General features: G+C 42.3%; 1 long non-coding RNA gene across 1 annotated transcript in view, besides 1 other annotated feature; it reads left to right on the plus strand.

The window, feature by feature from the left end:
* Positions 1–2,506, plus strand: part of LINC01780 (long intergenic non-protein coding RNA 1780) — a 27,931-nt gene extending 25,425 nt beyond the window's left edge. Inside the window, exons 3-4 of the long non-coding RNA NR_146623.1 lie at positions 741–857; positions 2,315–2,506. This is a non-coding gene — a long non-coding RNA (long intergenic non-protein coding RNA 1780). The remainder of the gene's footprint in view (positions 1–740; positions 858–2,314) is intronic.
* Positions 4,511–5,710: an enhancer, noted in NCBI's record as "MED14-independent group 3 enhancer chr1:119900810-119902009 (GRCh37/hg19 assembly coordinates)". NCBI's record gives its function as "activates an origin of replication core promoter dependent on BRD2, BRD4, P300/CBP and CDK7 cofactors, and independent of MED14, by STARR-seq in HCT116 cells {active_cell/tissue: HCT116}" and the evidence as "EXISTENCE:reporter gene assay evidence [ECO:0000049][PMID:35650434]".

The raw sequence follows: 13,617 nt of genomic DNA on the forward strand, positions 1-13,617 counted from the left end.
ATAGGTTGTCATCTTAGCATATTCCCAATTCATTACCAAATCCAGTTGCTTATTAGCTTCTTGTAGCCAATGCACGGTGCACAGTGAACATTTATACTATAAGAATTCATAGATGGATTCCCCAAACCAAGGCAGCAAAGATTACTGATTGTCAAAGCCTTTTATAAAATAGGTGGAGAGCAGGAATGGTTCTCATCATGTCCTGTCTCCACCATCTTGATTCATCTACAGTAAAAAGGGGGGAGGGTGTGGGTGTGGAAATAAGTTAGATGTGTGTGTTGATGTGTGTGTGTGTTTGTGTGCGTGTGTCTGTGTGTGTGTGTGTCTGTGTGCGTGTGTTTCAAATTGCATTTTTTGGCTACATCTCCAGTGAGATGATTAAAGAACTTTAGCTCCTCGCAACCAGCCCAGCCAAAAGTTTGACTAGGCTTCACTTTCCCAATATGGTTCTCATTTACTTTCAGCCTTATTCATTTATTATTTGTCTTTCAGAGAAAAAGGCAGCAAGAAAAATCAACCTTGAGGTTTGTTAATTAGGCCTGCATTCTTGTTGATATATTTCAGGAAAACAATTGGTAACTTTTGCCTACTCTCTGGAGAACCTTATAATGTGGTTCTATTCATTCATCAGGGCTCAGTGAAGCTTTGGGGCCCACTCCTGTTTGGTGATCCTTAAATCCTTTTACATATGGAATTGTGGACCCTGTATCAGTTTTTAAAACTAATCTTTCTCCTTGCAGAGCTTCAGCAAGCAACCACTAGGATAATGTTAAAGATCTTCAGTGGTAAGAAGACAAGGAGCAAAGATTTTTATCTTACTTTGTGATTTTCATAATTAAAAAAGAAAGAAAGGAAAGGTAAGCACTAGCTCTCTCACTGCCCTCACTCACAAACACCAAGCATTCTAATTCTGATTTCCTGTTTACTTGGTATGTGAGATCCTGACCCATCTTAAACTTAGTTTCATTTTTCATGATAAACAAAAATAAAGGCAGGAAATTGTGGGGAGATTTTCCCAAATGTGGAAACAGATAGAGTCAGGAAAAGAAGTCATATATGTGCCTTCTCATCTCTTTCCTCTTCACATTTATGCCTCTGCACAAAAGACTGACATGGTTCAGTCATTTTATCCAAGCCCCTTTTGTCATTTTCACCAAAATAAAATATTCAGGCTGGGATTCCCTAAGTAAGAACGGATGTTTAAATAAAAAGTTCTCTATCTAATTATTTAATTATTCTGCTCAAGGAAATAGTCTGGGTGTTGTAGGAACTCAGAGATGAACTTGTAATCTTTATAAAAGGAGCCCACATACAGGTCACAACAGAACAGACATGGAACAGAAAAGGAGAGGTTGAAAGGGATGGGGAGGAGGGGAGATTAAATATGCTCCTTATGATACTGATATCACTTGGTTTAAGTGACTCCTTCTTCACACATCATCACAATTCTAAACCACTTCTTCTCTAGCAATGCAGCCAGGTGAAACAGGGTTAGGGTGAACAGCCACAGAAAGACCCCATCTCCCTGAGGGCATGTGTGGGACAGATCAAAGGTCAGTTCATCTTGCTTTGGCAGGGTGTTGGGATAGGCCTGACTAAAGTGTCCTGTGCAACTAGAAGCATAGACTTCCCATCTGCTAAGATGAAGAAACTTGCAGGGTTGAATCCTGGGCCACTCCAAAGTTGAGAAGTCAGGAAAATGAGGAGGGATCAGCAGAGGAGACTGAGAAAGAGCAGCCAGTGAGGTGAGAGGAGAACCAAGAGATAATTATGTCCTAAAGGCCAACTGAAGAAGCGTTTCCAGAAGGTAATGACAACCTATCTCAGATGCTATTGACAGCCCAAGATGAGAAGTAAGAATTAAACCCTGGATTTAGGGATGACTTTGAACTGCAAGCATGCTCACCACATGGTATCCTGTCCATGAGTCTCAGTTCTTTGGTGGCACCAGTTTTTGAAACTATGGGGTTCTTTCCTCCAGTGACTGCCTTGCTGGACACTGCTCAATTCCAACTGCCCTACCACCAGCCACTTGCCAGTTTAACAGCTTCAAGACCCAGGTCATCATGTCATTGTTTAGCATGTCAGAAAAACATACTAAGCAGCTTCACTTTTTTGTTTTTGTTTTCTTTTATTTTGTTTGGAGACAGGGTCTTGCTCTGTCACCCAGACTGAAGTGCTATGGCATGGACATGGCTCACTGCAGGCTTGACCTCCCTGGCTCAATGTATCCGCCTACCTCAGCCTCCCAAGCAGCTGGAACTACAGGAGTGCACCACGACATTGGTCTAATTTTTATTTTTGTTTTTTGTAGAGACGAGGTCTTGCCACATTGCTCAGGCTGGTCTTGAACTCCTGGACTCAAGCAATTCTTCCACTGTAGCCTCCTGAGGTGGCAGGATTACAGCATAAGCCACCATGCCTGGCCTCAGTCACACTTTGGAAAAGAAGACTATGGATCTACATGTTCATTTTGTGGTCGAATTATAACCAACACGCCACTCTATCTGCCTCCACTCTGCTTTTTCCATGCCTGTACTTAAATGCTTCTCAGAATTTTTAATGTACTTCCCTGCCTTTTGCCATAGATTTTATACTCACTGAGAACCAATGTTCTGCCATATTCATCTCTTTATCTTTCACACTCACACCTAGTGCCTTACAAGTTGCTTTTAGCCAAAGTCACAGGAAACCTGACTCACATGGATGTCAAGGGTACTTATTACCTTGTATAAGAAGAAGTCCTAGGTTATGGTGCCTCCAGGATTGGTTAGCGTAGCTCCTCAGTGGCATCTCCAAGGGCTCAGTATGGCTCTGTCTTTTTCCTCTGCCATCCTCAGCATGCAGGCTCCTGTTAGAAATGCTTCTTCCCCAGTGCTGTAAAGAAATAGCACTTGAACATAAATTTTAACTACCTCAGCAAGGCCATTTTTACTTTCTGCAGAAAGGGTACACTCGCCAGCAGTTTTGCCACAAGAGTACACTGAACAAAGGAGACAGGGTCATTTATAACTTTACGCGTCCACGCTACTGCTGTGTCCGGTGTCTGTTGTCTGGAAGGGGACCTCACATTCTGTATTTGTCCTGATCGGCTAGCAACTTAGAACTTTTCAAAAGAGGCAAAGGCAGAGGATAACAAAGGAAGGAGGAAGTAACTTGTGGAATGCTGAGAAAGGTAAAAACACCTTCAAATAAGGAATAGGAACAGGTATGACCTAATGCTTGCTTGGACCAGTATAAGCATGCCAGGGTAAATATTTAGGCTAAATTGTGGGAGCTAAGAACATAAAGTACATTGATTTCTTTGTTACAGCTAGCAGATATTTAAGAATGTTAGCACAGGTCTTTGAATAAATTTTGCTCCTAAGAGAAGTTACTATTTATTCCTAATTAGATGGGGAGGAAAGTCTTTGAAGACTTTCTTTTGAACCTCTACTTTACTTTTTAAACTCCCAACCCCAGTGAACCCTCCTCACAGTCATGAGCCTGCTGTTACCTGCAGACATGGCAGTCTCTAGGGATGGCCCTTTGTAGGTAGGAACAAGGAAATCTTTCTCAGAAGCTCCCAGGCAGACATCCCCTTGTATTCATTGGTGGAACAGAGTACCATGCCCATCCCTTAACCAGGCACTGGCATAGAAATAGGCTTCCCATGATGAAGACTAATCAGTTTTTACCCTTGAGTAATGGGATCAACTTTTCTAAGCAGGCACTTGAGTAATGGGATCAACTTTTCCAAACACATGGTTCAGTGGAAGAAGGTGAATACCTGAAAAAAAATCAGGTTCTGGCCGGGTGTGGTGGCTCATGCCTGTAATCCCAGCACTTTGGGAGGCCGAGGTGGGCGGATCACGAGGTCAGGAGATCGAGACCATCCTGGCTAACACAGTGAAACCCTACTAAAAATACAAAAAATTATCTGGGAGTGGTGGCACATGCCTCTAGTCCCAGTTACTGGGGAGGCTGAAGCAGTAGAATCGCTCAAACCTGGGAGGCAGAGGTTGCAGTGAGCTCAGATCGCACTACTGCACTCCAGCCTGGGCGACAGAGCAAGACTCCATCTTAAAAAAAAAAAAAAAATTCAGGGTTCTACTACCAAGGAAGAAGTTGGAGAAGGATGGGGATTGGGGGATAAATTTGGTGTATGCAACCTATAGTGTCTAACAAAATAACACATGATAGCAATGTCTATTGAATTTCACCTCACCTTAGATTGAATTATTTCATCAGTTCTAGGAACAGAGCTGTGAGAAGGTGGGATCTGGGTCAGAAAGGCTTTGCTGGGGAGAAGGAATAAAACACACAGGGAAGACTGAGAGCCTGAGGCCTCACGCAGCTGAAGAGCCAATGGGGTGTGAAGTCTCAGTAGGGAGGAGCTGAAAGCCAACCCGGAAATGCATCTATATACCAAGCACTGCCTTAGGATATCCACACACATTATCCTATTGAATCTTCATAAGAGCCCTTCAAATATACACAGTATTATTCTCCTATTACAAATGAAGAAATCAAGGCTCAGAGGAGCTGGTGGCTTACAAGGGTCACCTAGCTAGTGAGTAGCAGAGAGAATTATATTGGCTGCTGACAGTGGCTGCAACCTTTTCTATATGGTCCAAGTTTCTAAGGAATCATAGGAATGCAGACCTCAGCCAAACAAATACTCTGTTATTATATGAGGCTTTGGGTCCCCAACATCCAAGAAGTCTCCTGGCAAGATGGGTCACTAATGAGCAGTGACATTTTAGGGGGGGTAGGAAGATTGAAGTGTTAGGAATGGGGAAGCTAAAAGCAAATTTACAAAACCCAATTGGCTAAAAATAAGGTAGCTAAAAATCAGTTTTGTAAAATCATTCATTTGCTGAATTATTAATTTTCCAAACTAGTACTTACTAAATTCTTGTTGATGTTAGCTGCTCCTAGAGTTTGTAGCAACTCATGTTGTTTGTGACAGTTTCAACAGACTTTGCACAACTTTTCTACATTTGGTTTCCCAGAGGCTTTGCCAAAGCCAGAAGAACTAAGTACCATAGAAGAATTCTGCATATGAGAGAGCTTTGTACATGTAATCCTTGACGGAAGAATGGCCCCCGCTTTCAGAGATGTTTGAGTGCATGGCTTAGGGAGGGATTCCAGGAAGCAGTGAGGAGTGTCCATGCAGGCAGCCAATGATGCTGAATCATCCAGAACTGTGCATGCAGGGACATGTGTGGCAGCCCCTACAGGCAAGCCGGGGCTAGATGTTGAAGAATCCTAAATGTCAAGTTAGTGAGTTTGACATTCCCAGGAGGTGCTGAGGAATCACTGAGTGCTATAGTGCCAAGAGTGTAGACGATACCTGCAAGAGTGCCTGGCACACAAGAGGCACCCAGTATGAGCTCACTGAATGAATAGCTCACCTTAGGATGCTCCAGGTTCTTCTGCTTCCACATAAACAACAAGGCTGTAAGCATCCTCCTCTTTGAAGCAGAAGGCTATTACACTGATAGTAGTTCTGCTCTCAGTAGGTAGAGGCCACAGCTGAATCTTTTGTATTAGGGTATAAGACTGCTAAAAGTTGGTATATTATTATTTAATTATCATCATCACTATTATTTGATAAGTAGCCATGCTGCAGAATGGTGCCTGGGAAGTGCTGGGGCCCTAACTCAGAGACTGATGGCTCAAAACCATCCTCTGCTCCTAACGTTTAAAACCTCGTGGTGGGAGAACTAGTTATTGTATTAAAATTAAGGTATTCAAGGAGTTATATAAAACAATGCATATTATAATCTCAGTTTTATTATCTTCTTTCCCAATCATTTGTCTATTGAGGTACTAGAAACAAGTGTATGAGAATGTTTAGAATGTGTTTAATTTCGTTGAATTTGAACACTAGGCCAAAAGTGCTAGAATCTCAGTGAAAACTGAGGCTGGCACCTTCCTGGCTGCATGATCTTGAGTGAGCTTCTTATCCTTTCTGGCCTCCTGCTTCCTCAGCTGTAAAACCCATAGCACCTACCACAAGATGTTGTTCTGAAGGTTAAATGACACTATGCATGTGATATTTGAATGAGGTGCTCCCACTCTAACTATGCTGACAGGTTCTCTCCCTAAGCACCTTGCATATTTTTTGGAATAAGTGTGGTCCAGCCGCATTGCTTATTCTCTAATAGTAGCTATTTTATAATAAAGGGTTGAATGTCTCATGTAATTTATTGAATACTGTACTGAAAGTGAAAAACAGAATGATCGTATGGGTATGCAAAGCATGGTTTCTGCTGAGTGCACATGGCACAAAGAGAAGCCATAGGAATGTAAAGCTGTTTCTCCAGTTCACCCGTACAACACCCTTCACAGAGGTTCCCGACATCATCAGACCAACAGTTCTTTTTATAATACAGGTGTAATTGTTGCCCCTTTACCATCCTAAGATTAAATTCATAGTTTAACCTACCTCTGCACATTATTATAAAAATCAATAGGCCAGGCGTGGTGGCTCACGCCTATAATTCCAGCACTTTGGGAGGCCAAGGTGGGCAGATCACGAGGTCAGAGATTGAGACCATCCTGGCCAACATGGTGAAACCCTGTCTCTATTAAAAATACAAAAATTAGCTGGGTGTGGTGGCGTGCACCTGTAATCTCAGCTACTCGGGAGGCTGAGGCAGGAGAATCCCTTGAACCTGGGAGGCAGAGATTGCAGTGAGCTGAGATCATGCCATGGCACTCCACCCTGGTGACAGAGTATGACTGTGTCTCAAAAAAACAAACAATATACTATCCTAACTGTAATAGACAGGTGAAAACATAGTACTCTGTGATAAAAATATGCAACTCAATATGTATATATTCACACATAAACAGACCAGAGGACATAATTGGGTCACATGCTTGCACCTACTTAAAATAATAGTTTGAATTAAAAAAATAATAATAACACCATACCTGTAATCCCAGAACTTTAGGAGGCTGAGACAGGAGGACCATTTGAACCTAGGAGTTTTGAACCAAGGCTGGACAGCAAAGTGGGGCCCCATCTCTACCAAAAAAAAAAAAAAAAATTACCCGGATGTGGTGGCGCGCGCCTGTAGCCCCAGCTAGTCAGGAGGCTGAAGTGGGAGGATCTGTTGAGCCTGAGAGGTCAAGGCTGCAGTAAGCTGAGATGGTGCCTCTGTACTCCAGCCTGGGTGATAGAGTAAAACCCTGTCTGAAAATAATAATAATAATATCAGAAGACACTCTGTACAAGAAGTGCAGGAAAATGAAACAGCAGAAATACTGGACACTAGAATAAAACCTTGATTCAGATAAATAACAATAGACCAGGCTGATTATTTGTATGTGATAAGAGATAAAAGGAAATAACCTTAATCAATGAGGAAAGGAAATATGTTTTACATTTGGGTCCATGGAGAATGAATAAAAGAATGCAGCTACAGGAGGCAAGACATAAACAGAGATCAATAATTCAGCAGAAGCTGGAACTTATGAAGTATCTAAAAGAAGTGTCCATCCTCTGAGAATCCATGGAAATATGGAAAGGGAGGAATAGGAATTTCAAATTCTATGTGATATGGGAGCTAGAGCCAGTTTGCTTTTTAATACTGAAGAGAAGGTGGCCCCATATGACAAGAGGATCAGGAACATTTGGGAGGCTGAAACTTGGGTTACAAATCACAGTCCAGGTAGTGTTGCTGTCACTGTGTGAGATTTATCAACAGAATAAACAATGTACCTCTTTCAGAGTAGGCACTTACGAAAGACTGGTTGTCAGCTGAGTGAATATGTGTTTGGTAAATGGCACCCTTGTATAACTCAGACAACAAGCCTACTTAATATTTAGGCTTTTGTTTATTGTGCACCCACTGTGATGGTGCTTTATCTACACTACCTAATTCCTATAACAACTCTGTAAGGCACATACTGTTATCTTTATTTCATGAGGATGAAAACCCAGATTTGGAAAGTTAAACCCAGATTTGAAAGTTAAACCCAGATTTGAAAGTTAAACCCAGATTTGGTCAAGCTCTTGGTAGGATGTGAATGCAACTGTTTCATATTTGACTCTCACCCCCATCCTAGGCAGTAGGTGGCTAGAAACAGGAATTACTGTTCTCACTTTGGCTTTGAGTCCCCTGACGCCAGCGGCAGGGATGCAACTTGCTGGATGCTGTACAGCTGATGTGCATCATCCCTCTTCTGCCTGGAAAGTCCCTGTCTTCTCAGCATTTACATAATATCTTGTGATATGTGCATCAAATTTGTTTTTGGGATCTCAGAAATCAGCTGCAATCTTAGGCAAATTAAATTAAACCCTACTACCCAAATATGAGCATGGTAACTTTCATATCAGAGAGCAGAAATTTAAATGTCACTTAGTTAAGGTCATTTAGTTAAGATCTGTGCTCAGTATGGGAACAATTAGCTAACAGATTGTAAATAAATTCTCTGATTACTTTCAGGGGTGGAATAGTGAGTTGTTACAAAGCCATTCCTGGATACGATGGTGATGTGGCTCTATCATCTGCATCAAATTTCTTGTTGGTTTTGACCCTGCATAGTGGGCTGAGCTGTTCTGCCTTCCTCGCTCATTGCTCTTTGAACAATCTTCCCAAATGTGCATGCTGGACTGAAGGTCCCAGTGAGTGGAAAACCCTTCTTCTATCAGGATCATTCAAGGGTGAAGCATCTCCTGAGAAGCAGAAGACCCTGTGAAACAGGTTTGTAGAAACCAGTATTATGGTTATATGTTCTCTCTAATTAGTGACTATGCGCTATTAGAATGAAGCCTAAGTGAAGTAAAATAACTAGAACTTGTATACTTTAAAGGTAGAAATGTAAAATGGGACTACTTTTTCTTATAGTTAAAAATACACCTGCCTTGTTACTCATCAACTTTACTATGAAGCATTTATCTCGGAGAAATAAAATATAGTCACAAAAAATTGTGTAAGAATATTCACAGTGGTTTTATTCATAATAGCCCCCCAAACTGGAAACCATTAGAATGCCCACCAACAGGTGAATGGATAAAACAAATGTGGATTAAATTCATACAATAGAACAATGCTGAGCAATGGAAAAAAACAGTGAAATACTCATGCAAGCAAAACACAGTTGACTCAAAAGAGCATGTTGAACAAAAAGAGTCATAAATAAACATTTAATTGATTCCAATAATTTGAAATTCCAGAGCAACAATTTGAAATTCTATGTGATGATGCAAAAAGTCAGAACAGTGACTACCTCTGTGGGTGAAACAGCATTGACTGGGAAAAGACAAGGAAACGTTCTGTAATGATGAAAATGTTCAATTATCTTGAATGTGGTGGTAACTTGATGCCTGTCTTGCAGAAACTTGAAGAGCTGTACACTTAAAATGGATGTGTTTTACAGTGTGTGAATTATATTCTAATTTAAAAAAATGAAACCTAAGATGATTTCAGCTACTGGAAGATCATAACTATGTTCTGTTTCCACTCCTGCCTTCTCTTCTATTTCTTTCTTTTATGCTTCAAGCCTTAAATGCTACCCCTGCAGCAAACATTTGCCTGGGCATCCAGGCATTTCTATACATCTGATATCTACGTGGAGGTTTCCAGACCTCAATTCTTGACTTCCGTGCACCCGCAGGCTGCCAAGGCTTGGGGCTTTCTTCCATCTTCTGAAGCCACAGCCTGAGCTGTACTTTGGCCTCTTTCAGCCACAGCTGGAGCAGCTGTGACACAGGTCACCAAGTCCGCAGGCTGCACACAGCATGGGGACCCTGGACCCCACTCATGCAACCACTTTTTCCTCCTGGGCTTTCGGGCCTCTGATGGGAGAGGCTGCCGTGAAGGTCTCTGACGGCCTGGAGACATTTTCCTGTGGTCTTGGGGATTAACATTAGGCTCCTTGATACTTATGCAAATTTCTGCAGCGGGCTTGAATTTCTCCTCAAAAAAAAAATTCTTTTTTCTCCTGCATTATCAGGCTGCAAGTTTTCTGAACGTTTATGCTCTGTTTCCATTTAAAAATGAAATGTTTTTAACAATACCCAAGTCACCTTTTGAACGCTTTGCTGCTTAGAAATTTCTTCCACAAGATACCCTAAATCATCTCTCTCAATTTCAAAGTTCCACAAATCTCTAGGGCAGGGGCAAAATGCCACTCGTCTCTCTGTTAAAACATAACAACAGTCACCTTTACTTGAGTTCCCAACAAGTTCCTCATCTCCACCTGAGACCACCTCAGCCTGGACCTTATTGTCCATATTGCTATCAGCATTTTGGGTAAAGCTATTCAACAAGTCTCTAGGAAGTTCCCACATTTTCCTGTCTTCTTCTGAGCCCTCCAAACTGTTCCAATCTCTGCCTGTTACCCAGTTCCAAAGTCGCTTCCAGATGTTTGGGTATCTTTTCAATAATGCTCCACTCTACTGGCACCTATTTATTGTATTAGTCTATTTTCATGCTGTTGATAAAGTCATATCCGAGACTGGGAAGAAAAGAGGTTTAATTGGACTTACAGTTCCACATGGCTGGGGAGTCCTCAGGATCATGGCGGGAGGCAAAAGGCACTTCTTCTTACATGCGGGCAGCAAGAGAAAATGAGGAAGAAGCAAAAGCAGAAACTCTGATAAATCCATCAGATCTCATGAGACTTATTGACTATCATGAGAATAGCACAGGAAAGACTGGCCCCATGATTCAATTACCTCCCCATGGGTCCCTCCCACAATAGGTTAATATTAGGTTGGTGCAAAAGTAACAGTGGTTTTGCCATTAAAAGTAATTAATGCAACCTTGGGTTGTTGGGAATTCTGGGAGATACAATTCAAGTTGAGATTTGGGTGAGGACACAGCTAAACCATATTAGGCTCTAAATGGGAGTCAGTGGTGCCCATATGAGGAAGGGACTGAGGGTCTCACTAGACTTTTATAATATAATAAAGCTACCCCCAGTGAAGCTGATTGTACCAACATAAGCTGGTGTGCTCACTTGGAGTTCAGCTGCTGGATATGTCAACGTCCTTGAGAGTTCAAAAATGTAAACATCAGTCCAAGAACCAAAGATGCCCTGACCTTTGCATTAAGTTGGCCATACCCTTCCAGAGGAGACCATGGTAGAAAGCAGAGAGAGCAGGGTGAGACTGGGCAGAGATGGGAATGAGTAATGCTGACTGCATCCTGCCCCTCCTTCTTTGAGAATTCAAGTTTTAAAATCTGTTCTCTAATTCCACAATAAACAATCATCATGCACCTACTATGTACCAGGCTCTGGGCCGGGCAGTGGGATTCAAGAATGAATACAACATGGCTCCTGGCCTCAAGGAACTCAAAGTCCTGAAAAAGCCACACTGTAATGACAAGCCGCAATACCGTGTGACAAGTTTCTCCCTCTCTCTCTCTCTCTCTCTCTCTCTCTCTCACACACACACACACACACACACACACACACACAGCCAGCTCTGCCCAGTGGCACTGAGGAAGGTTTCATGGATGGAGAAACACATCAACTGAGTCCTAAGGATGAGGAATGATTAGTATGTTCCAGAATGAAGGAACAGCAAGTACAAAGCAGAAGCTTTTTAAAAAATGTGTTTTGATGTAGGCAGAGGCAAAAGTCCCCCAGTGGGCTGTTAGAACTTTCTTGAAGACTCAGAGAGTCTTGAAGAGTTCCTTACCAGCTTAACTACTGGCTTCCCACTCCCTGCTGAATAAACTCTTGGTTCAGCAGGCCTGAGGCCTTGGCTATATACCCATACCCCAGTTCATGTAACAGCAGGACCTGTGGGCTCAGTTTCAGACCCAAGGACTAGGGCTAGTAGAAGAAAATATAGTTCAATTTATGTGAAAGGGCCAGCTGAAATATCTGTCATTCTGGCAGTGTTCCCTGGTCACCCTAGCCAGAAGCCATCTTGCCCTCCTCTGGTCTCCTATTGGCAACTCTTTGCAGTATTAATTAAAAGCACAATAGTTAAATGTGGACTCTGGGGCCAGAATGCCTGGCTTTGAATTCCGGAATGCCTGGCCTCCACCTCCATATCTGTAAAACAGAGATAAAAATGATCCCCACCTAATGAGTGAAGAACTGCTAAACCCTTAATACACTGCTTGGCACATAGTAAATGCTCTGTAAGTGTTATTAATTACTATTATTGAAAATAATGCAACCATTTCTTGAGCATTTATTGGTACTAAGGGCAATGCTAGGCCGTTTACATGCCTTATCATTGCTCGGCACAGGGTGCTGAGTGTCTGAGCACAGAGGATGTTACAATATTAGGTGACTTTAGGGAGCACATTGTTGCTTTCTGAGTAGAAGAAACTTTCTCTCCTGCTGAAGCCACCTAACTCACAGTAAGTTGTGTTTGATCCTGGATCAACATAAATGCCTTGAAGAATACACACTGTCTCCAAGATGCCAGGGACTCTCACATCAACAGGCTGTTGACAGTGGATCCCACAGCATTTCACACATAGGCACCCATGTCCTCAACCCCGGATACCCAGCAGATTCTGAAATCCTGATTGTTTTTCCTGTGCCCAGCAACTGACTTTCTCCATGATCTTGGGAAGGTGTACAATCCCAGCTCTAGCTACCTAACTCATCTTCACATCCAGAAACCCCGCTTCCTCCAGTCAGATCTGATCTATGTAGCAAGCTCAGCAGCTAGAGGGACACACTTCCTTCCTACTTTAGACCCTATAAAGCGAACACAAACAATGCAGCCCTATGACAGAAGTCATTGGCCTTGGACTAAGGTCTTCAGCAGGCTCTCTTTCAGGTTTTCTTCCCATCTCTTCCAGTAACTGACTCTGCAGAGCTGCCCCCATCCACCGGGTAGCCATTACAAAGAGGTTCACAGCCTATAAGGGGCTTGGTGGCTGCAGAAATACGCAAACTGTCTTTAGTTTGACTTAGCCATCTATGACTGGTTTGGCTTCAGTTTGCAATGACCCAAGTTTGCATTAATTACTTTCAATAGCAAAACCACGGTTACTTTTGCACCAACCTAATATTAACCTGACCACAGCACCAAAGTGTTCATCTTTAACCCTGATGGGCTTGAGCACAGACTGCAAAGTCCTGGGCTCATCCTGACTTCCAGAATTACCTCAGGAAAAATAGATGGCTGGATTAGGACAGGACCACAGTGATCAGGAGGACTTAGCATGTTTTTAATCCCCTCCATTAAGAAGAATTTTGGCATTCTATTCTACTGTGAAACTACATTTGCTTTCTAAGAGACTAGGTCATGACAGCTCAAGAATGACCCGACATTTCTCTTCATCCAAAATAAGCAGGCATATTGCTCAATGGGTACCCTATGACCACCTGAATAAAACCAATATCTTTTCATAACCTCATCCTGAAACATTCTCCAAGCCTGCTGGTGGGTCCAAAGCTGGTCTGTCTTATCCATGGACCCATTCTCTGGAATTCAAGAGGTGCTGCAAAAATGCTGCCTCAAATAGCTCTGCCTGTGGCCCTATATCCCCTATTTGAGATTAGTTCACTTAGGTGCAAACATTAGAGGCTGATATTAGAGTGTGTTACCTTGTAGAGATGATGTTCTTTAACTCAGTGCAATCATCAGATTTAAAAGGTCTCCAAGAAGGTCATTATTTCAAACTTGAGAATCTCTCATGAGAA

Source organism: Homo sapiens, chromosome 1, assembly GCF_000001405.40.
Source record: "Homo sapiens chromosome 1, GRCh38.p14 Primary Assembly".
Classification (NCBI taxonomy): domain Eukaryota; kingdom Metazoa; phylum Chordata; class Mammalia; order Primates; family Hominidae; genus Homo; species Homo sapiens.